The sequence below is a fragment of the Homo sapiens genome, chromosome 3, assembly GCF_000001405.40.
Source record: "Homo sapiens chromosome 3, GRCh38.p14 Primary Assembly".
Taxonomy (NCBI): domain Eukaryota; kingdom Metazoa; phylum Chordata; class Mammalia; order Primates; family Hominidae; genus Homo; species Homo sapiens.
The window spans coordinates 59,824,921-59,850,970 of record NC_000003.12 but is presented as its reverse complement, the minus strand read 5'-3'; the positions used below and the strand labels follow the sequence as shown (position 1 = coordinate 59,850,970).

At 38.9% G+C, this 26,050-nt stretch overlaps 1 protein-coding gene across 8 annotated transcripts in view; it reads left to right on the top strand.

Annotated features, from left to right (window-relative positions):
- FHIT (fragile histidine triad diadenosine triphosphatase) overlaps positions 1-26,050 on the top strand; it is a 1,504,176-nt gene that overhangs the window by 1,400,482 nt on the left and 77,644 nt on the right. The gene's annotated exons all lie outside the window — the stretch shown is intronic.

Sequence of the window (26,050 nt, the reverse complement as noted above, 5' to 3'; positions counted from 1 at the left end):
AGAAGTAGAAAGTATTGGCCATAATCCAGGTTATTCCCTCGAAGGGGAGCTTTGGTGACATCAGAATGGATTAGAACATACAATCAGGCTTTTAGGTTGCCAGGATCACCACCTCTACCTCCCCTTGCACAGTAGTATTCTTTTTGTTGCCTTACCAACACATTTACAAATGCAGAAAGACTCTTGCTTTTGTGGCAAGTCACACCCACAAGGTGCCTTTTCTCAGACATGTGTGAGTCCTTCAGTCATTGTTCCCAGTGTCAGTGTTGAGTGCAGGAGCTGAGAAGAGAGGTGACTCATTTTTAATTGATATCTTAAATAAAGTTCCTTGGGGTGGCCATGTATTCTGTCCCTAACCTCTCTGGTTAGAGAGCCTGAGCTTGTATCGGCTCATTAACTCTAATAGCTTGACCTTTAGCTTCTCTTCTGTGTGTGATGTACCAGCCTTCACTTCTCCTGCGTAATTTAAGTGCAGGGATATACCACATTTTTTATTGGAGGGCTTAGGTTTTTCAGGGTTACCCTGAGTCTGAGTTTCATTTTAATGAGGCAGTGCCAGAAAACAACAAGGATTCCATTACCTCTAAGAGATATACCCAAAGCTTTGGGCCCAACATAGTACTTATGCAGCTGCAAATTAGGAATTAAAGTAGATGTTGGTAAAGAGGTAAAGTTGTCTGTTCAAAAAGTTGCTAGGGAATATTGCAAATTAAAACATTTGTCCACTGATAATGAAAGTTGACAGTTTCTTCCTGCTTAGATTTTAAATCCAGCATCTTTACTTTTTGCAATTTATGTGGAAATAATGAATGTTTTGTGTTAAGACCTTCTCCCTCTAGGGAACAGGGCTTCACCTTTCTAATTTTTATTAAATTAACTACCAGCATGCAGGGAATTTCATGTTAGCATTTGGTCCTAGCAGATCATTTCAAAACACATTGGAAAAAATATACCTAATTAAAATTGTATGGAAAAAAACCCAGCATGACTTACTTTTAGGCTGTTAGTGCATATAGTTGTGTATCTATAATTTATTTTAAAGAACTAAAGTCAAAGGTATTATAGCTTCTGCAGCTGAACATATACCTTATAATATTTCTGATTTTGTCAAAAATTAAATTATGCTTTTTCCTTCACTGCAGAAACAATGCATATCTCCTTCTATAAGCTACTCTTATAATATACCTGATTAAGAATAACCCATATTTATTTCTGAAAACATTACAAGTCTTACTTTTAGAGAGCAAAGAAGTTTTAGATAGTTCGTCATTAATTGGTAAACAACTAGCTCCTTCCTCCTAAACATGTCTCTTGTTTCATCTCTTCCATACAGTCCCTCAGGTACGTGCTGTTGGAAAGTTTAGGAAACGAATTCCTAGCATCCAGATTTCATCTGTGTCTGTTTATATTTGTGGGTTGGAGGCTGTATATATTTGTGGGTTGGAGGCCTAGGGTAGTTTGCAAGCCACCAATCGGATTGAAGTCTTGATAATTTTGCCTCCATGAGATTGTGGTTTGGACACAACTCATATCGCATGCATTATTTGATCTTTTTCATATGCATTTAATAATGGGAGAATCTCATCTTTTTTTTTTCTGTGACAGAGTCTCATTCTGTCACCCAGGCTGGAGCGCAGTAGCATGATCTCAGCTCACTGCAACCTCCACCTGCCAGGCTCAAGTGATTCTCATGCCTCAGCCTCCTGAGTAGCTGGGATTACAGACGTGCACCACAACACCTGTCTAATTTTTGTATTTTTAATGGAGCCATGGGCTTTCACCATGTTGGCCAGGCTGGTCTCAAACTCCTGGCCTCAAGTGATCTGCCTGCCTTGGCCTCCCAAAGTGCTGAGATTACAGGCATGAGCCACTGAGCCTGGCCGAGAATCTTATTTCTTAACAAACAACTATATACATTAGCTTGATTGCCTATAAAGGGATATGAACCTGACCTCATATATGAGAGTACTGTCCTAAATGGAATTTGCATGATGACAGGATTTATTCTGTTTTAGGATCATGTGATATTTGAATAAACAGAAATATAAAAACAAAGAATGACAGATGCAGCTGAATACTCAAGAGTGAAGGATGAGAGACAGGGACTCTGAAATGAGATCTTTTTCCCCAAGTGTTTTATTGTTACTGGGCATTGAAGGAAGAATCTGATAATGCTATTCTGGTAGAGCTTTACAATGGCATTTATATGACACCATATTTGGAAAGGTTCCTCAGACAATCTAAGTGCCAGCAAGTTGAATGGCATTATTACTGGATAATAACAAGGCTGGAAAACTTAGAATAGCTTACCTTCCCATTGCGTTACCTAATTTATCTAATATATCCTAAATGTAAGTACTTTGGGAATTTCAGAAGAAAAAGTATTGAATGTCAACACAAATAATCTTTTTTGTCTTTATAATTTCTAAGATCTCTATTATTTTAGAAGATATTCTAAATATTATTTTAGAAGATTACTGAAATTGCTCAAAAATCCCCAAAGAGCTATTAAAGGTCTGTGATTTTTTTAAATCTTTTTGGCATTCTTTCCCTATAAACATAGGTATATTAAAATATAATTGATGGGAAGATTATAGAGTATGAAGCTTGAGAAATCTGTATTTCCACATAGATAACAATTGCATTGGCAGAATCTGTCTGTTGTAGCTATTTTGGAACTCTGGAGTCCACTGAAGGCCTGAATATTCCAGGGAAAGGGGCACAAATTGTGATTAATTTCAATCAATTTCAGTTCTTAGCACAGTAATAACTACCCATTCCCCATCTTTCAGCCCCATGGCAGGCAGCTGTGCATGTACTCCTGGTTTGCACATGGCTTGTGGGAGCCACGGTGGGCAAAAAGGACTCTATCCTGCAAATATTGGGATCTGTATTCTGATTACTGATTGCCGTTTTCAATCACAGAGGTACAAAAAAGAGGTGGTAGCCATTATTGTTGTACCTTCCTCTCTAGCTGAAGTGACTCCTAGGGAATTTAAAGGGCTGATGCCTTTTTTCGCTTCCCTTAATTTTTCTTCTTTCCCTTTTTGGGACCCAGATATTGAAAACTAGGACATTCAAAAGCAACTACATATGTGGGAGACTTTAGATAGCTACTGTGCATGTTCCAGGCAAGGCACTGGCTCAGAAAAGACTTTAAGTTTATACCTCAGAGTGATCCTTGCTATAGAGTTGGCCTACAACAATCAAAAACATGAAAACAAATACCAGCAACCCTAGCAAAGGGGGAGAATCTGATTTCAAGAATTATCATATTATTCGATTCATATGTCCAGTTTTCAACAAAAATAAAATTACAAGGCATATAGAGCAACAGGAACGTATTAAGCATTAAAGGGAAAATAAATAAATAAACCAATGGACACTGAGCTGAAAAGACCTAATGATGGATCCATTAGCCAGATACTTAAACTACCTATCATAGAGATGATCAAAAAAACTAAAGGAATAATTGGGGAAAGTCAAGAAAATAATGTCTGATCAAAAGGGCAACATCAATAAAGAGAGAGTGATGCAAAGAAACCAAAAATAAATTGTAAAGCTGAAAAATATAATGACTGACATGAGAAATTCACTAGAACTCAAAGGCAGATTTTGACAGGCAGAAGAAAGAATTAATGAATTTAAAGATAGGTCAATGAAAATTAAGTCTGAGGAACAGAGAGAAAAAAAAAGTTGAAGAAAGATGAACAGAGCCTAAGGGACCTGTGGTACACCATCAAGTGAACCAACGTATGCATTGTGAGAGCCCCAGAAGGAAAAGAGGGAGACAGAAAGGGGCAGAGAGATTATTTGAAGAAATAATGAATAAAAACTTCCCAAATTTGTTGAATGACATGAATATGAACATCAAAAAGCTCACCAAAATACAAATAGGGTGAGCCTGAAAGACTCACACCAAAACACATTATAAATACTACTATTGAAAGTCAGAGACAAAGAGAGAATTTTGAAAGCAGCAGAAGAGAAGAGATTTGTCATGCACTAGGGATCCTCACTAAGATTATCAGCAGATTTTTTCATTAGAAGCTTTACAGGCCAGAAGGCTCAGATATTCAAAGTGGTAAAAGAAAAAAAACTGTCAGCCAATAATCACGTATCCAACAAAACTGTACTGCAAAAGAAGTAAAGGAGTGAAGAAGAAATTAAGGCATTCCCAGATAAAACCTGAGAAAATTTATTAGAACTAGATCTGCCCTTCAAGAAATGCTAAAGGGAGTCCAGAAGGTTAAAATGAGGTGATGCTAGACAGTAACTTGAAGCTATATAAAGAAATAAAGGTCTTTGTATTGGTAAATATATTTGTAAGTAGAAAAGCTAGTGTTATTTTAACATGGTATGTAATTCCACTTTTTGTTTCTATATGAATTAAGAGAATAACGGATTTTTAAAATATATTGGTCTAAAAATCAATATTATTATAACTTTGGTTTATAACTCCATGTTTTGTTTTCTATATAATTTAAGAGACTAATGGATAAAAATTATTAGTTGATGTTTTGAGGAAGTCAAGATATATAGATGTAATTTTATGACATCAACAACAGAAAGGGGAGGGTATAATGTTGTTAAAGTAGCACAGTTTTTATATGTTATAGAAGTTAAGCTGGCATAAATTCAAATTACAGTGTAATAACTTCAGGATGTTAAATATAATTTCCATGGTAACCACAAAGACAACAGCTAAAGAATATACAGAAAAAATCGAAAAGGAATTTAATCATTTCATTATCAAAACAAGAAATCAACCAAACACAAAAGAAGACAGGAATACAGGAAATGAGGGACAAAATAAACCTATAAGGCATATAGAAAACAAGTCACAAAATGACAGAATCAAACCTCTCCTTAACAGTAATTACTTTAAATGTAAATGGATTAAACAGCCTAGTCAATAGACAGAGGTTGACAAAATGGTTTTAAAAAATCATAATCCAACTATATACTGTCTTCACAGACTTACTTTAGAACCAGTGATGCAAATAGGTTAAAAGTAAAAGGACAGAAAAGGATATTCCATGTAAATAGTAAACCAAAACAGAGCAGAGTTGGCTATACTAATATCAGAAAAAATAGACTTTAAATAAAAAATGCTAGCAAAGAGACAAAAGACAGAAGTTAAGTAAGAAAACAGAGGACTTGAACAAAACAGTAAACCAGCTGGATCTAACAGATACATGCCAAACACTCTACCTAACAACAGCATACACATTCTTCTCAAGTACACGTGAGACATTTTCCAGGATAGACCATATGCAAGGCCACAAATGAAGTCTCAGTAAATTTTAAAAGACAGACATTGTACAGAGTGTCTTCTCTGATCACAATAGGATGGCATTAGAAATCAGTAACAGAAGGAAAACTGAAAAATTCAAAAATTTGTGAAAATTGAATAACACAATCTTAAGCAACAACTGGATTAAATAAGAAAACACAAGGGGAATTAGATAATACTTAAAAGACAAATGAAAACAAAAACACAACATATCCAAACATATGGAAGTAATGAAAACAGTACTAAGGGGAAATTTTATAGCTACAAATACTTATATTTAAAAATAAGACAAATGTCTAAGCTTACAACTTAGAAACTAGAAAAATAACGCACTAACCCCAAAGCTAACAGAAGGAAAGAATAAAGATTAGAGCAAAGATAAATGAGATGGAGAACAGAAAAATAATAGAAATCAAGGAAAAACTAGAAAATCAGGGGAAAAAGTGATTTTTGAAATTATCAACAAAATTGACAAAATTTTAGCTAGACTAAGAAAAAAAACCAGAAGTCTAAAATTAATAAAATCAGAAATGAAAGTGAGGACATTGCTATCAAGTCTACAGAAATAAAATGGATTATAAGCAAGTAATATAAACAATTGCATGCCAGCACATTGGATAGTTCAGGTGAAATGGACAAATTCCTAGAAACACAAAACCTATGAGACTAAGTCATGAACACTGAATAGACCTAAAACTAGTAAGGAGATTAAATCAGTGATCAGTAATCTCCTAGCAAAGGGAAGCCCCAGACCTTATGACTTTGCTGGTGAATAGTACCAAAAATTTAAACAACTAAACCGATCTTTTTCAAACTTTTCAAAAAAATTAAATAAAAGGGAACACTTCCTCATTCTATGAAGCCAGCATTACCTTGATACAAAGACATTGCAAAAAAACTACAGACCAATATCCCTTATAAACATTGCTACAAAAATCTTCAACGAAATACTAGCAAACCAAACTCACCGGTATATTAAAAGAATTATACATCATGACCAAGCGAGATTTATTCTTGGAGTGTATGGATGGTTCTATACACAAAAATCAACCAATACAATACATCACAGCAGAGCAAGAAGAGGAAGAAACACATTATCATCTCAGTTGATGCAGAAAGAGCATCTGCCACATTTCAAGCCCTTTGTGGTTTAAACACACACACACAGACACACACAGACACACACACTCAACAAACTAGGAAAAGTAAGAAACTACCCCAACATGATAAGAGCCACATATAAAAAACCCACATTGAACATCATGTTCAGTGACGAAAGACTGAAAGATTTGCCTCTATGATCAAGAACAAGGAAAGTATGCCCATTTTCACCACTTGTATTCAACATAGTACTTAAAGTCCTAGCCAGAAAAATTCAACCAGAAAAATAAAGGCATCCAAATTGAAAATGAAGAAATTAAATTATATCTGTTTGCAGATTGTATTAGGCTATTCTTCCATTGCTATAAAAGAATACCTGAGACAGAGTAATTTATAAAGAAATGAGGTTTAATTGGTTCACAGTTCTGAAAGTCACACAAGCATGGTGCCAATATCTGTTTGGCTTCTGGGGAGGTGTCAGAGAGCTTTTACTCATGGCAGACAGTGAAGCATGAGCAGGCATGTCACATGGCCAGAGCGGAAGCAAAAGAGAAGGAGGGTGTGGGAGGTTCCACACACTTTTAAACAAACAGATCTCATGAGAACACACTCATTATCATGAGGACAGCACCAAGCCATTAGAGTTCTGCTTCCATGACCCAGTCACCTCCCACTAGGACTCATCTCCAACATTGGGGATTGCATTTCAACATCAGATTTGAAGGGGACAACATACAAACTGTATTACAGATGATATGAACTTACATGTAGAAAACCCTAAAGATTCCACCAAAAAAAAAAATCTGTAAGGAGTAATAAATGAATTCAACAAAGCAATAAGACACAAAGTCAACAAACAAAAATACATTGCATTTTTATCCACTAACAACAATCTGAAAAGAAAATTGAGAATTAAAAAGAATAAAATACTTAGGAATTAGCTTAACCAAAGAAGTGAAAAACTTGTACAGTGAAAACTGTAAAACATTTCTGAAAGAAGGTATCAATCAATGAAAACACATCTTATGTTTATGGATTAGAAGATTTAATATTGTTTTCAATACTATACAAAGCGATCTATAGACTTAACACAATCCCTGTGACAATTCCAACGATGCTTTTTTTGCTGACATACAAAAAGCCATCCTGAAATTCATATGTAATTGAAAGGACCCTAGATGGCCAAAGAAATCCTGGAAAAGAACAAACCTGGAGGACTCATACTTTATGATTACAAAACTTACTGTAAACTGTAGGAGTCAAAGCAATGTGGTATTGGCATAAAGATAGATTTATACATCAATGGAATAGAATAGAGGATAGAGGAGTCCAAAAGTAAACCTTCACATATGTGGTCAAATGATTTTTGACAAGAGTGCCAAGATGATTAAATGGAGGAAAAGACAGTCTTTCCAATAAATGCCGCTAGGAAAACTCTGTATCCAAGTGCAAAAGAATACAATTAATGTTAGGTACATTCCTTACCTTACACCATATAAAAATTTAAAATGAGTCTCCGACCTAACTTTAAGAACTAAAACTATAAAACTCTTAGAATAAAATTTAGAGCAAAAGCCTCATGATATTTTATTTGGCAATTATTTATCGGATATGACACCAGAGACACGGGCATCAAAAGGAAAAATAGATGAATTGGACTTAAATGAAAAACATTTTTGTACATCAAAAGACACCATCAGTATAGTAAAAAGGCAACCCACAGAGTGAGAAAAAATATTTGCAAATCATATATCTGATAATAGATTAATATTCATAATATATAGATAATTCCTAAAACTCAGCAACAACAACAAAAATCACTGATTCAAAAATGCGCAAAGGACTAGAATAGACACTTCTCCAGAGAAGATGTACAAGTGTCCAATAAACAGTTGAAAAGATGCTCAGCATCACTAATCACTAGAGAAATGCAAATGAAATTACAATGAGATATCACTGCATACCCATTAAGTTGGCTGCTATCAAAAAAGAGTGAAGTGTTGGCAAAGATATGGAGAAATTGGAACTCATGTGCACTGTTGGTGGGAGTGTAAAATGGTACAGCTGCTGTGGAAAACAGTGTGGCAGTTTCTCACAAAATTAAAAACAGGATTACCATATGATCCAGCAATCCCACTTCTGGGCATACACCTGAAATAATTGAAAGCAGGAACTGGAACAGATGTTTGTACGCCCATGTTCACCCACATTCATAGCACCATTATTCATAATAGCCAAGAAGTAGAAGCAACTCAGTATCCATTGAAACATGATTGAATAAATCAAATGTGTTATATACATGCAATAAAATATTATTCAACCTTGAAAAAGGGGAAATCCTGATAAGTGCTATGATATGGATGAATCTGGAGGACATTGTGCTAAGTGCAATAAGCCAGTCACTAAAAGACAAATACTGTATGATTCCACTTACATGAGTTATCTAGATTTGTCAACCCTCATGGACAGAAAGTAGAATGGTAGTTGCCAGAAGCTGGGGGGAGGGAGAATGGGGAGTTGTTATTTAATGGGTATAGAATTTCAGTTTTACAAGACGAAAAAGAGTTCTGCACATGGTTGGTGGCAATTGTAGCCCACAATGTAAATGTACTTATTGTCACTGGACTGTACACCTAAAAATAGCCAAGATAGTAAATTTTAGATTATGTGTATTCTACCACAATAAAAGAAATTGGAAGAAAATATCAGTGGTAATCCTTCCCAACTCTATAGATACCCCTGACCCTGCTAATCCCATAGGTCTCAATGCACGATTGGTTTTCTTTATAATCAAACTTGGCTGGTTTCTGTTTATTAAAAAGATAGTTTTAAAGGATTGTCTGGGTTTCAGGAGTGTGTGTGTGCATCAGTACACCCGTGTGTCATGGGTTGGGTTCTTGGGCTGCAGTGCTGAGATGGACTCTGGAGTACAAGATGTTTATTAGGCATCAACACCTGTGAAAGGAAGGGGCAGAAACAGGAGTGGGCAAGGTAGAAGCTGGACTTTGAGGTAGGCCCTCCAAAGCTTCACCCAAGCCAGTGGGGAGCCCTGGGTTCATTATTGCCTATCTGGATTGTTCCGTGATGAATGGAAACAGCAGCATCTTGTCACACCTGCCTCACTCTGTAGGAAATGAAAGCTGCCCAAGAAATGTATGGTCTTTAGGGAAGCAGCTCACTGGAGCTGAGGCCCATTCTCAAGTAGCTAATGGCTGAACAGTGCTTGCTAATCACTATCCACCTTACAGTTGGGAGGCCAAGTCCCTCCTTGAAGGGCAACCTGGGTGGTACATATCTGTGCCTACCACAATATGGGTGTAGACTTCAGCCCCACCCCACACACATACCTAGATCTAGTTTAGCATACAGCTGTGATCTTCCAGAATGACAGGTAACCCAGGCAAGATCATCTGACCTTTTCATTTATATCATTTTCTACCATCAAAGGGGCTATGGACTCTGCCAAGAATGTAGCAAGCCAACTTGACCTTCAGAGGTAAAAATGAAACCCGAAGACATGGCGAAAATTAAACCAACTCTTTAGCAAAATCTAGAGATGAAGTGAGGGCACCATTGGTTCCTGGGTGTTTTAATAGAATGTGGAAATGTGAAGCAGCTTCCAAATGACATTTATTAAGCTCCTAGTGTATTTGCTAAATGATGTACACCCTGCTATGTCATTTAAACCTCACAACAACCCTATGAGCCCAGGGCTGTTATTATCATCACCATTATATAGATGAGAAAACTGAGGTGCCCAAGGTCCCAGAGCTGTCAAGCACTGAGGCAGGGATATAAACCTAAGTAGTCTAGTCCTGCACAGTTTTAACTATTCCCTGAGGACCTGACCATTTTTCTGAACATATGTACTGGGGACGTTGAGTGATGTAACCACGCAAAAGACTGCAGCATAGGTGTCTGCATTTTGAGGATTGAGGCAAGGCTTCTACACACAAAATTATAAATGTAATAAACATACAGCATTGTCCATTCCTGCGTGCTTGCTTATGAATTGGCGATGGATTTCAGAAGGAGAAGAAATCTCCTACAGAAGGGACTGGTGTCAGCTGTGCCTTTACAATGGGTTAAAGATAATTTGAATTCATTGCCAACATTCAAAAATGAAGAGATTCCTCATTGAAATTTTGATAGATGGTTTCTTTCTTTTTTTTTTTTTTTTAAAGGGGGATAATCTGGTGACATGATGCACCTTCCTGTGAGCTGGCAATATGCTGAAGGAAGTGGGTTTGCCATCCTTATCAAAGGGCCCCTATAGGTGTCTGAGTTGGTAACCTCAGTGGGGCCACAAAAATAAGACATTATCTTATAATTACACAGTTGCATTTTGGCTCTCTGAATGGGAATGATGGGGAATCTGCAAGAATGGGGGAGTACTTCTGTTCAAGTGAGATGTCAAGATTTCACCTTGCCCATCCTTTTTGATTACCTGTAGTCAGAGGGAAACATAGCCCACAGAGTGACAGCTCTACCCTCTTCTGACTCCTCCTGTGGCTTTTCTGTAGCCCCCACTCACTGTAGCCTGGCTACTTAGAAGGGATTTAACTAAAAGTGAGAAGTGAGATTCAGTGGTGAAACATGAAACTGAAAAGTCAGTAAAAGAAGTCATCTTTAAGAGTGAGGTTTAATGCCAACTTCTCCCTTGAGGGACCTTGTCACTTCAAGCCTTTAATACCAGGCCTGACAAATATTTAGAAAATGTTCAGGACTTAACCGTTTTGCACAAGGAGAGGACATGATGCCCTGATAGATTTATTTTTTTTCTCCTTCATCTCTAGTATCTGTGATCCTCTGAATCCTGGTAAGGAAACAGGTCTCAGAGGCTATTCTCTGAGCAGTGTTTGGTAGAGAGAGATAATGGCACTGGGATTGAAGTAGATCTTCCCAGAAGAGAGTGAAAGGAGATAAAGAAGCCATGGCTGCCTGCTCAGGGAAGTGGAAAAGGAACTTCTTGATGGGCTTAACCTTATAAAAGTGTGATCTCTGGAGGAACCGGTGGGCAGTAAGGCAGAGCTGCTTCATCAACAAGTATTTAAGTACTTACCGGGTACAACATATTTAACTAGGGAAAATACATACTTAAAGATGACTCAGTCCTTTCTCCCAAGGAGGTTACAATGTATCTGGGGAGACCAGCTGTACTGTTGTGAAATAGTGAAATAATTATGGAAAGCCTGTATGGTACTAATGATAAGAGGTGGTTTTCTTTTTTCTTTTCTTTTTGTTTTTTTTTTTTTGAAAATGAAGTCTCGCTCTGTTGCCCATGTTGGAGTGCAATGGCATGATCTCAGCTCACTGCAACCTCTGCATCCCGGGTTCAAGCGATTTTCCTGTCTCAGCCTCCTGAGTAGGTGGGATTACAGGCATGTACCACCACGCCCTGCTATTTTTTTGCATTTTTAGTAGAGATGGGGTTTCACCATGTTGGCCAGGCTGGTCTCAAATTCCTGACCTCAAGTGATCCACCTGCCTCGGCCTCCCAAAATGCTGGGATTGGGGACATGAGCTACCGCGCCCAGCTGGGAGATGAGATGGTTTTCTTATTCTTTCTTTTGTGGAATAGATCTCTTTTTTTTCCTAAGTAAAGGTCACCCAGATCCCAAATATATAAATATAATTGATCAAGGTAGCGCAGCTCTGGTTGAAGTGTAGAGGCAGGGGCTGGAGGTCTGACAACCTAGCCCGCTTCAGTTTCCTACTTCCGCCTTCAAAGGCACCTTTGCCAAATCTAGGGCTCCTCAAAAAACACACAGGAAGACTGGAAAAAAATCTGAATGTGTACAAGTACTTTTGCTTGAGTTTCATGCTATCCCTTTGGAGAGAGAGCATTATCAATCTCCAGTCTCAGATAAGGAACCTGAGACACAGAGGGGTTACACAACTGGATCAAAACTCTCACCGCTTGCTCATTTTGGAGCTGGCATATGAGCCCAGGTCTCTAAACCTAAGCCCTCTAAACCTGCCACTCCACAGTAGAGCAGATGCTAGTGTCCCATGCCAGAGTAAGAGATGGAGGGATCAGGAAGGCCTTGGGAAGAAGACACAAGCTGAGATGGGTTCTGGAATCTACTTGGAATTTGAGTCTATGCAGAGGCTAGGAACGACATTCCAAGTGGGAAGAACAGCAGGAACAGTAGCTGGGGGTGAGGGAATAAATGTGGTTTGGAAAACAGGTTTGAATTAGTTTGTGAGAGGGTTGCAACCCAAGGTAACCTTGAACTCTGCCATCTAGACAATGAAGGCAGAAACATTGTAGCAGAATGGGGCCAAGAACACAGCAGGGTTTCAGGCAGGTTTGTCTGGGCATTGAGGGCAGGTTGTTTGGGTAGAGAGTGGGACTGGGGTCAGGGAACCTAGCTAGGGGAAAGCTGTAATATTTCAGCCTGGAGCGAGGAAGGCCTGTGCTAGTTATGAAGGCTAGAGGGGTGGAGGCTTTTCAAAAGCAGGAGTGGGACAGCGAGAGTGAATGACTGTGGAGAGCAGTGAGGAAAATGGAGACAAAATGACTTCTGGAATCTGATTCTGAGAGAGAGGATGGGAGATGATGGCAAGATGATGGTGATGGTGGCAATGACTGCAGCTAACATTTGCCCCAGGCTTACAGGGTACTAGGCACTGTTCTAGGCTCTTTACAAAGGCTGTCTGACTTCATCTGTCCACAACCTTCTGGGGCAGATATTACTATTATTCCCACACCACCCCCCCACACCACCACCATTTTACATTGCAGAAAACAGTGCAGAGAGGTTTTGTAACTTGCCCAGAGTCCTATAGGTAATGGATGCTGGAGGCAGTATTCCAACCCAAGCAGTCCAAGTCCAAACCCATTCCCTTCACCACTGTGCTATAGTGCTCCTCATAGAAAAACGTATCCACATAATGACAAGGGCAGAGAAGACCTTTGCCCAATTTGATAGAGAAAACCAGTTCTCTCAACTTTTGTTTACTTGTGTAATCCTGAATTTCTCAAATAGGATTCCATGGGACATTTTTATAAAAGATCTAATGAAAATGTTTACAGTTGGCCCTCCATATCCATGGGTTCAATCAATGGAGGATTGGAAATATTTGGGGGGTGGGGGGAATTGTGTTTGTACTGAACAAGTGCAGGCTTTTCTTTCCTTGTCATTATTCCCTAAACAATAAAGTATAACTATTTACGTAGCATTTATATTGTATTAGGTATTATACATAATCTAGAAATGATTTGAACGATATGTGAAGATGTGCATAGGTTATATGCAAATACTATGACATTTTATATCAGCGACCTGAACATCCGTGCATTTTGGCATCTGAGGGAGGTCCTGGAACCAATTTCCCATAGATACCAAGGGATGACTGTATTGGTTCAGGGAAAGGTGACTTAAAATTAATCAGGCTTCTATACTCCAGGACTACTCAGCCATTTTTAGATAATAGAATAATGTGTTCTGAGAATTGCCAGATGGAGCCTGTACAAAGAAGTGTCTCCTAAGCAAATCCAAAAAACTGAACTCTTTTTTTTCTCACAGAAAATTAACTGTGTTTCTCCAAATACTAGTGTTGAATGGAATATAATTTAGAAATGATAGCATAGACGTATAGTGAGTTTAGGACTAGAAATAGCACTATAACAAGTCAAATCTTACCATGCGAAGGTAAGAAAGTGTCTTAATTACAATCCTGGGCCATTCTGCCTTTGCAGGGGCCTCATTTAGTCATCACTCAGACTTGCATCACTGTTCGGGCCCCTCCAGCCCAGTGTCTGCATTTCTCTTGACAGGTGGCTTCCTTCTGAGGCCATGTGTAACACACATGGCAGGCATTCTTTCTCCCTAGTAGGAAGTGGCTGCACCTGTTAACAGCCTGGGCCCAATTACTCTCAAAAATTTGGACTTCAGCTGCCACACTAAAGCAGCAGTCCTTGAGCCTGTTCAGCCCATACTGATTTGATTTCTAATGACACTCCTAAAAAGGCAAGGTTCTGAAGTTCCATTTTATATCAGGGACTTCTTTGGCAGAAGGCAAACCGCAGGGCCAAGCTCATATGGCATGTGCAGAGGTCAGCCTTCCTGTAACAGGAGGGGACCAGGAAAGGAAGAAAACACCCTGAGTAGGTTTTCTGGGTACTTCTGCATCTGACATCCTTGCCAGCCAGCTGCCACTTATGTCCTGGGTCTCCTACTTAGTTATCCAAACCAGCACAAATGTGTCAAACCAGCTCTCAGCGTTTGAAGGGATAGTGTGGCTCATTTTCTTCCTTGTGCAGCAGTCACAAAGGATAAGAATGCCCAGCCTAACAGTATGGAATCGTGCAAAGGAGCTCAACCTGTGAAATTTTGAGAGGATCACAGAATATCTACTCATCTTCTAGTCTCCTGCAGCATCTAGCAAGAAACTTTTTCCTTCCCATTTAAGTAGTACCTCCTAGTCCATCAAGTCTTCTTGACTTGAGTCTTCTTTGTAAACTCATGGGGAGGACTCCATCTTGGGCATGCTGCATTTAGTAACATTCATGGATATTCTTGATTTAAGGTACTATGGGGAGTGAGGGAAAATGGTTAAAAATCTGGGTGCCCATCCCAACAGGACTTCCTGGGGCCATTTGGGAACCATCCCCTCCTAGATTATTTGTGTCCCCTTGATTTACTCTTAAGCGACTAGGGCTCCCCCTTTTCTCCTCCCTATTTCTTTAGTAATGTACCGCTTGGCCAAAACTTAATCATCCAGTATTCAATTCCCTCCAGATCTTAGAATTTCATTATAGGCTGGCAAGGAACTAATCAACTTAATGAGCTAGTGGTCTTCAAGTGTGTTGGTATTTCTTTCTAACACACCTCAAAGAGAGTCTTCTCAATGCATATTGTAATACAGAGGGGTGATTCTCGTAGCACTAAATTGGAATCTTAGGCTTATGGGGAAGACATATTGAGAGTAATGTCTTTAATCCTCAGAGTATTCCATTTACTGCCTCTTGGTAGGTCAGGACCCAGTCTTTCATGTGTGAAAACTCGGACACATCTACTCCTAGAACAAGCTCACTCATGACAATTCAGGTTCATATCCATAAAAATGTCAACAAATTGTAGCTTCAGCATAAAGGCCTTCTTCTTTGTGTCTTTGCAGTATAGTAGAAATGGTTCGCACAAAGACTCTCTTTATTATGAAGGTAAATGAAGATTAGGAGAGCTTCATTTTTGGTGCACAATAACATTAGACATAATAGGCGGGAAAGGGTAGAAAGCTCCATTGATGAAGAAAGGAATATTATCACTCTCACTTTCTTCTGAACCTAAACAAGTTCTCAGGTTTTGTTTGACATCCAAACCATTACCCAAATTCTAAAGCTTAGTCTATTAAAGAGGGAAAGTGGAAAATCTTTGGTAATGACTATTTTGGCCCAGGCTGATATAAGTCAGAGGGCCTTTGATCCATATAATCGATGTGTTGAGAGGAGATTATAACTCTTAGGGAAAGATTGTCTTTGCAAAGACAGAAGATTGGGTTATTTACACAACAAGGTCTGCATGAGTAAGTGGTATCTTTGCATATCTACATAAAATCAGGTCAATCAAGTTCAGTTTAAAAAACAACAACAAGAAAATTACCACCAACACAACATATTAAGTAAGTTAAAACTATTTGGGAATGTGTTGAAAATTCACTATTTAACTGCTAATGATTTGATTAAATTTTATATAGGCAGGAAAGATACAGACCTTCATATCTATAGACTTATGCATTGATATATTTTTATGTGTGTATATCTGTCTATCTGTTATAGACTGAATGTTTGTGTCCTTCAAAATTCATATGTTGAAATATAATCTCCATTGTGATGGTGTTTGAAGGTGGGACCTTTGATAAGTGATTAAGCCATGAGGATAGGGCCCCTCAGGAATGGGATTAGTGCCCTTATAAGAAGATGTCAGAGAGCTAACTTCCTCTTTTTCCACCACGTGAGGATACAGTAAAAAGTTGACAATCTACAACCTGGAAGAGGGTTCTCACCAGGAACTGACCATACTAGCACTCTGATCTTGGATTTCTAGCCTCCAGAAGTGTGAGAAGTAAATGTTTGTTTTTTATAAGCCAACCAGTTTATAATATTTTGATAGTCGCCCAAAGTGTCTGTCTGTCTCTCTGTCTCTCTCTCTCTATCATCTATCTATATGTCTAAGTTACCTATCTGTCTGTCTGTCTATTTAGCTAATCTATCTATCTATTGTTTAACAAATATACTCTGCCAGGCACAGTGTAAAGCACCTCCCATCCACTACCTCGTTTAACTCTCATAAAACATCATGAATGAAACAATGGATTTTTCTGTGATGTACAGGAGAACACTGGAGTCAGAAATCACCTAAAGTAAATGAACAAACTAGGACTTGAATTCAGGTCTTCCTGATCTTTCAGCCAATGTGCATGACCATTGCATTGTGCTGCCTCCTTTTTCCTTTCTGTGTCTCTGGATATTGTGTGGACATAGATATGGCAATATAGCTGTATTAGTTCATTTTCACACTGCTATAAAGAATTATGTGAGACTGGAATAGTTTATAAGTAAAGAGGTTTAGTGGACTCACCATTCCTCATGGCTGGGGAGGCCTCAGGAAACTTATAGTCATGGTGGAAGGCAAAGGAGATGCAGGCACCTTCTTCACAAGGTGGCAGGAGAGAGAGCACAAAGTGGGAAGTGCCATACACTTAAGCCATCAGATCTCTTGAGAACTCACTATCACAAGAACAGCATGGAGGAAACTGTCCCCCTGATCCAATCACCTCCCACCAGGTCTCTCCCTCAACATGTGGAGATTACAATTCGAGATGAGATTGGGTGGGGACACAGAGCCAAACCCTGTCAATGACCTTCATGAGTATAATAGTGATTTCCATCAGAAGTTTTCCATGGGATCTGTTGGTAAAAATTCACCTGATGGGCTTTGTATTAGTTTCCTAGGGCCACCATAACAAAATATTACAAACTAGGTGTCTTAAAAAATTAGAAATTTATTGTTTCATAGTTCTGGAGACTAGAAGTCTGAAGTTGTGGTGTTGGTAGGGTCATGCTCTCTCTGTAGCCTGTAGAGGAATCCTTCCTTGCCTTTGGTTTATAGCTTCTGGTAGTTTGCCAGCGATCTTTGATGTTCCTTGGCTTGTAGCTGCATCACTCCAATCTCTGTCTTCATGGTCACAAGACATTATGTGTATCTCAAACTTCATGTGGCTGTCTTCTTATAAGCACATCAATTATATAAGTTTAGGAGCCCACCCTATTTCAGTATGGCCTCATCTGAACTAATTGCATCCTCAATGCCATTTCCAAATAATGTCACATATTGAGGTAGTAGTGATTAGGACTTCAACATATCCATTTGAAGCTGGGGGTGGAGAAGGAACCCAGTTCAACCCATGACAGGCTTATTCAATTACAATGATTTATACCCCAGTGTAACTTACCCCCATGTGATTACTATTACTTAATATGTCATATATGCTTGTGCTCAGATATCATTGCAAAAGAGTGAGGAGACCTGATATAAGTCAGTATTCATTTAAACCAGATTAGAAACCTAATCCAAACTAGCTAAAGTAAAAGAAATGTCTTGGCTCACATAATCATAACATGTAGCATTAAGTCTTCAGGCACAGCTGGATTCAGGGGCTCAAAGGACTCGGAGCTCTTACTTTTACAACATTTCTTGATTCTGTCCTTGCCTGTTGGCTTAATACATAAATAGTCTTTCACTCAATGATAGGGAAGATAGCCCCTAGCATCCCCAGATTCACTTGCGCACATGATGTAAGCTGAGGCTGAGTTCTTATTGAAAAATTTGTGTATTAGCCTCGGCTGCAGTAACAAACAACCCCCAAATAAACAAATATTTATTTCTCATTTATGAGTCTGTGGTTGGCAGCACTTCTTCTTGGCTCTATTCTGTGCATCTCTTATTCCAAGACCTAGGCTGAAGCAGAGAAGCCCTCATCGGGGCCATGCTATTCACAATGCAGAGGACAAAAATGCAGAAAGTTAAGCCTTGCAACCTCATTTAAAGATTCTATGTAGACATGGATATTTCTTATCTGCTTATAGTCCTTTGGGCAAAGAAAGTCACATAACCAAGCCAGACAATGTGGCTGGATGTTACAGATAAGGTAGGGGTGTATTATCCTTTTCTTAGAGCAAGAAAAAAAAATAATTGAGGAGAAAACAGAACCTAGCACAATGAGGTTGGAGTTAAGTTAAAGACGTCTGGTGTCACAGGCTGTGACTCAATGGTTGAGAAATGATTGGGAAGATCCAGAAGTAACTTTTGCCCCTCGATTTGCTCCCATGGCTCCTGAAACTGAGGGACAGTACTCAATAGTCTAACTTAAATATAGATATGAAGTGGCTCCAACAATCAACCACTTAAGGTACAATCCAGGAAAACTGGACTCCATGTGAACTTAGAATTTCTGAGCTAAACAGCATGAACTCCCTACAGTGCACATCATGGGGGGGCAAGTGGATCACTGGGTAAGGAGTAATGGGTTAATTTACTCAGGTGCAGGGATAACATGTTAACTACCCAGCTCCTTAGGGGAAGTAGGACCAGTAGTTGAGAGTCCCCATTTGCTCTGCTGACTATGGCTGCAATACACACACACTTACCATCAGCTTTTGGCCACAAATTGAATCCCAGGCTAGGAGTGAAAGGGGAGCAATACCCTTTAAACCCTCTCTATATCACCCTGCTTTTTGGCATTTTGTTTTGTTTTATTGTTTTCATTTTTCACAGCCACCCCTTTCCACCTTAACTGGTCTGGTTACAGGTTATTTCCAAGCAGAACCCCCATTCCCTATTCCACTGATTTTCCATCTCATTCAGGAGGCAGGGCACTTTGGAGTTGTAGTTACCTAGCAGGTTGTGGCTGCTGACACTGAGATATGTTAAGTAACTTGTGGCTCTATCTGGGACAGACAGTCTTATCGCATGAGGCTAAGTCATTATAAGGACAACTAATAAAAGCTGTGGTTGTGTTTGTGTCAATGCTGGGGTAGAGGGTAGTAACTAAGGGCACAGGCTCGGAAGTCAAACTGCTTGGCTTCTATTTCAGCTTTATTACTTCTTTGATCAAGCTTCTTAACCTTTCTAAGACTCAGTGTCTTCATTCATCAAAAGGAGATAATAGTCTCAATAGTTGCCCTGAGGATTCACTAAGTAATCCACATTAGGCACTTAGTAGACTGGCAAGCACATGGCAAGCACTCAGAAAATGATTATTACTGTCATCATCATCATCATCATCATCATATCACCAGCATCACAGATAATGTTGATGATAATTATATCAATAATGTATCACTAATACTTCATATCAGTAATAATGCTGTATAGCATAAATGGTTCACATTCATTGAATGCTTTCTCTGTGTCAGGCACACTGTTTCAGCTCTTCTCAAGCACATCTTCACGAGAACCCTAAGAGGTAGGTGGGGTTATAGCCTCCCATTTTACAGATGAAGTAACTGAGCCCACACTGGTAACATCGGATACTATGCTTCTTGCAATAACACAGAACTACAGCCCAAAGCAATGTTTCTTTGGGACCAGAATGCCTGGTCTTAAATACCAGCAACCCCATCCTGCTTCATTGGTACAGTCAGACAAAAGCAGTCATACTGTTCGAAGAGCAGTCAGCCTTGAGTCCACATTCTATATAAATCACCCAGTGAAAAAATGACCCAATTAGACAGGTTGGCTGCTGTGCACAATTGCAGCCTCCTGGAGTGCTTAACTGTAAGTCTTTTTGAGGGCCAGTGCTACACCTTTGCAAAAGGCCCTGCTCATGGGTCTGCTAGGTGGCTGGCTGTGCTGTGGTTGACCTGGCCCACAGATAATGAGGGAATTTATGTCTGCAGAATTATGATATTGCATTGAATGTTTAGACTAGACTATGAAAGAATGGGGGAGTTTGAATGTTTTTCCTATAATGATTAATGTTAGGCCTGTTGGGGAAAACTGCACACTGCAAAATCCCAAAGATTTTTCAACAACCTCTGATTGCTTTTGGAATCGCAAAGCAACATTTTCAGGAGACAGTTTTGACATGGCACATTTTGGAGTCCCTAAACAGGGAGCTAATTATACATCTACTTAGCATTAAGGATATCTCTGAATCTCTGAGTGCCTGAAAATGTTCCAATGAAAGTCATATATTTATTCCTGGCTTTTATCCCAAATGAAAAACTTCCTAGACTTTCCTCCTTTTTCCTTTGGAATATATATTGAATTTATTTTCTAGATTTTCTCCAATAGAGGAGGTACAAAAATAAATATTTGTACTCAGCATTTATGTCCTGTTATAGCTTCTGATTACTTTGGTTATCTTAGCAGTTGATTTAAATTGTCACAGTAAACTAAGCTATTCTTGGTAATATCTTCCCAGCATAACAAAGTTTATTTGCCACTAATGTAAACTTTTGAGGGGGGGGTTGTTTTGTTTTGCTTTGTTTTTGAGACAGGGTCTCTGTCACCCAGGCTGGAGTGCAGTGGTGTGATCATGGCTCACTACAGCCTCAACCTCCTGAGCTCAAGCCACCCTCCAACCTCAGCCTCCCAAGTAACTGGGACTATAGGCACGAGCTAATTTTTTTTTTATTTTTGTAGATATGGGGTCTCCCTATGTTGCCCAGGCTGTCATATAAACTCTTTTAAGGGACTGGTGGCTCTCTAGGGCCAATTTTCTTACAAACTCCCTTATAAGAGATCTATTTTCTGTATTGTATAATTCTGACACCTGGGCCTGCAGCCTCTGTATCACTGAGACAGAATAAGAGAGAGCTGGAGAGTCATGTGCTGGCTCTTAAATACTTTGGCCTTTAAGGTAGCATTTTCATTCAGAGTCCCTTGGCCAGAACTGGTCAGAGTATGCTCACTTATCTGCAAGGGAACAGGAAATGGAGCAGAGCACATGGATATTCATGGAATAGTATATGTCTTTTCCATACCACCGAATCCAGTTCCTCTGCAAGGATAGTGAAGGCTAACAGATCATGCATGCTATCAGTGCTATGAGTAAGGCAGCATGGGAGAAAAAGGAGGCATAGATTCTTCTGGCTGAGATTTACATGTTTTCTCCCACAGATCTAATTTTGAAGTTCGAGGGCTCCCTGGGCTCTCACATCCTCCTACTGCTGGTGCAGAGATATGAGAATATAGAGGCCCATGAACACTGAGGCGCTCTAAGGAAATCTCATGTTTAACCTCCCTTAACTAAAACCCTGCATTGCAAATATGAACCTTTAATTAGATGCACATAGATCCATATAGACCAAAGATAAGTTTTCAGAGGCCAAGGCACTAGAAAAAATTAATTGTGTAGAGATTACTTCAACCCACTTAATATTACTATCCATAGTTGAAATTCATGTCGTTAGTTCCATGTTATTTGGCCAAACTAGAGTGATTATTGTAATTAACCATGACTTTCTTTTGGTACCCAATGTGTACCATATACATGTAAAATAAACATCATTCTGCATCCACATTTTATCTTTTTTTTGGTTGTTTCTTCAAAGTCATTGTGCTTAAACTAGAGAGGCTTTGAAACACAAATTAAGATTTTCTTTTTTTTCTTGGAAAATTTACATAATACAAAATGAGTTCTGTGAATAAATTTGTCTTGCTTATTAACTAAGGAATTTGGTAGGATACACACACACACACACACACACACACAGAGAGAGTACCATTGGTTAAAAAAACAAAAACAAAAAACCTCTACTTCTTAAAAAAGTATAAAACTTAACAAACTGTGTACTTGTAAAGGAATCACATATCATATTGGAAAGAGATTTTCCCGTTAAGTCTGCCTTAACCAAAGATATGACATGGCTGAAATACTGTTTTTCAATGAGTGGTGAGTTAATTTTCTTGGCTCAAAGATTTAATGTAATTTGGTCCAAGAAGTTAGGCAAGTGCCTTGTGAAGTGTATGTGAACCGTTGTATCTAGCGTCTTTCTGGGAACTTTGCATTTCTCTTTAAGAAGAAGCAAACTTCAAATAGCCATACTTTATCATCCGCAGCCACATACACTTGGCTGGGATAACTTTGCTTCAGAGTATAAAGAAAGTTGTCAATGACTAAGAGATACATCAAATATGCTTTGAGAGTTATAGCAGAAAACCAAAATTATATTGATTTCTTAGAAGTTACTGAAGCAACACAGTAACTTTCATTCTAGGTTTTCCTACTTAGTAGGTACATGCCAAGGGGAAAATGTCTTCAATCCTGGAGGCAAAGAAAATGTGTTTTACTGCTTTCTCTTTGTTTCTTGTTTCTGATGATTATTTTTTAAAAACTATGAAGATAGAAAAAAGGATCACAGTCTGACAGAGTTCAAAATGAAAAATCAAATAAAACCACTATTTCTTTGCCTTAAATATCAAATGATCAGTCATGTCTCTACCTTTTTCCACAGAATTGAACATTTGTATTATTCCATAATGTTGCCAAAATGTGGCTTTTCATTTTAATTTTAGGAAAGATCAAAAAGGGTTCTTATATAAGTCTCTTGAAATGGAATAGAAATGTCTCCCTAAGTGCCTCTTTAATGTGAGGTGTTGTAATTCATCTCGAGATGAGCAATTTATGATCAAATGTCAAATTTGCAGAGAACGATGGATTCCAACTACAAAGACTTAGATGGGGCAAATGGTAGAGAGCAATCCAACATGCATTAATTTAAAGGAAGTTAAAAAATATACATTATCTGTAGATCTTCTTGTGTTTGTGCCTACACAACCAAAGTAAATGAAAACTGAAAATTTCAGACAACTGAAAACTATTTGATTTATCACACAGTGGTTAAGACCCTTTGGCATGAGAGAAACCTGAATTTAAACTGTTGCCCCACTAATTCCCGACTGAGTGACCTTGTCCCTTTACTGCCCTGTGCTTCAGCTTCCTCTTCTATAAAATAGGGATACCTATGGTATTCATGTTAATGATTAAGTGATATGTGCCTGTAAAGCACTTAGCATAGCTGCTCGCAGTATCTGCATTTATCTGAATATTAGTATACATTCCTATACATATTTCATTGTCACCCAGCAGAATGACAATTGATGTCATGTTAACCACACCTTCTGGTGCCCTATACCACAGTACTTTGTATCCAGTAGACAATCAGTAATTATTTGTTGATGTTCTGTCATAGAAATGTCTGTTATTTTTGCCATCTCTGACTTTAAATGTGATTCTCTTGGCCTGTGTTATTCCAATTTAACTCAGCAGTTTGTCCATCATGGTTGAATAACTGACCAGTCCAGTGAAAAGAAATCAGTCAAACTTGTTCTTTGACTGCAGGGCCTGGTTTTTGCTAAAATGTGAGGAAGGATTAGATGAGATGCTGACCGCAGGTAACACAGGCACAGCCTTAGTGGGTGGGGTACCATTTGTGCTATAAAATGGACACTGCATGGCATGAAGTCAGGCTCAAAAGCTCTTAGTAAATATTGGTTTACTGGCTTGTTAATGACTGACATAGAAGGCATCATTGACAGCTGAGTTTTACCATTAAATATCACTGTCTTTAATTGTGTGAGAGGATTTTGAAATCTGTTGAGGGAGGCATATAAAAAAGAAAGTGTATTATCTCTGAGAGTGCCCTTAGGATGCCATAAGGTGGACTAATTATTTGCCAAGTGGAAACACAGTGTAAAAAAATGGTTTTATTCTAAGACTTGCAGTAATTATCAAGCAAAGCCTTACTGGAGCCATATGAGGAATTTGGAAATGTCCTGGGGTGTTTTTAATTGTTACATTGATGATAAGGTCACTACTGGCAATTGGTGGGCAGGGGCCAGGCATGCCACACATCCAGCAGCATGTATGAGACACACGCTGAGACTCCCGTGTATGAGACTCGCGCGCACTCGCGCACATTGTGTCTCCTACAATGCCAGGTTAGGGGCTGAGAAACACTCTTGAGTATTGAATAAAGGCACTGAAGGGTCATTTCCCCAAGAAGCCTTACACATACTTACCAAATACCCACCATATGCCTCACACTTAGAATACAGTGAGTAGATGGTGAGAGGAGCTTATGTTCTTGAAGCAGCCAATAAACAAACTGTAAACATAGTAAATAAGTACAATATATATTAGGCTAGGAGGTGAAAAGTGCAAAGAAAAAATAAAGAACAGGTTAAACCAAATGGAAGTTGCTGGAAAAGGGAACTATATTACAATTTTAAAGTAGGGTGATCCAACATGGTGAAACCCCATCTCTACAAAAAAATTAGCTGGGCGTGGTGGTGCGCAACTGTAGTCCCAGCTACTCAGGAGGCTGAGGTGGGAGAATCACCTGAGCCCCAGAGGCCAAGGCTGCAGTGAGCCAAGACTGCACCACTGCACTCCGGCCTGGGTGTCAGAGTGAGACCCTGGGTCTAAATAAATAAATAAGATGATCAGAGTAGGAGAGAATAATGCAGATAGGGAACCATACTGTGGAATTAAACTGGAGATCGTTAAAGAAGTCGTGTTTGCAGGGATGCTTAAAACTGTGGCAGAATAATAAAGTGAGTTTCAGCTGTCAATATTCCTTATTTTTAGCAAGAAAGCAGCCTTAGGGACATTACTATAAATGATGGATAAATGCATAGATGGATGGCTGGATGGTTGGATATAAAATGGCCATTAAAGAATCAATAAGAATATCAACATTTCCTGTGCTGGGATTCAGTCACTCAGTGAATTCAGATGGCCTGTCCTTCAAAGCTTGGCCTAGGGTAGATTGGGCAAATGATTCCTGAGACCAATAGTATCTCAGTCCATTGACTTTTTTCCCTTCTCCACCCAAGACACCTGTGGAAACTATTAGTCTTCTATAGAATGGGCTTCAGTAATGTGTAAGATAAACTGAGGCCTTCATTCAAAGCCTGATCTTAAACTGTCTGTGCCTTAGACATGGTTTTATAGCCTGAGCATTTTTCTGAGTATTCAGTACATCAGGTGTGGGAGCAAATTGATATTGGAGAAATCTTCATGGACAGATGTGGCTAATGTTCTCAGCTTCTCTCTCGTCCTCTGAGGCCAAAAGTGAAGTGAAATAAAATAGCCAAAGTTGCAAGAGGATTTATTTCTCCTTTGAACCACAACAGAACTCAACTATCCCTCTAGAAATTGAAATTGTCTATGATAATAAATGAAAGTGCCATTAACACACACTGAGGCTCATAGGAAGTGGTTCTGCCAAAAGAAACATCCATAAAAAAGCATACTCGAAAAGAAAATGACAAGGTCTGAAATTAAAGATCAAACAAATAGGGATGATCTTCATAGAAAATCCATCTGGAGAAGAAATATGAACTAAAGCAAACAGGCAATAAGACAGCAGCATTATGCACTATTGAAAAAGAATCAAACCCTCTGCAAATCAGCAGGAAGGGATGCTGTTGAGGTGCTAGTCAGAAGACAGTAGGAGGCCCCAGAGGGAGACTGCAACACTTCAAACAACAAACCCAACCACACAAAATGTTTGCTTTATTTTACCAAAACATACACAGTGCTGCATTTTCAAAAGTCCTTTGAAAACCTCTTTGCAGAAGTAGCTGGAGAATCCTAACAGCAAAGCTCGTCAATAGGGAAAAGTGTGCAAAGGCT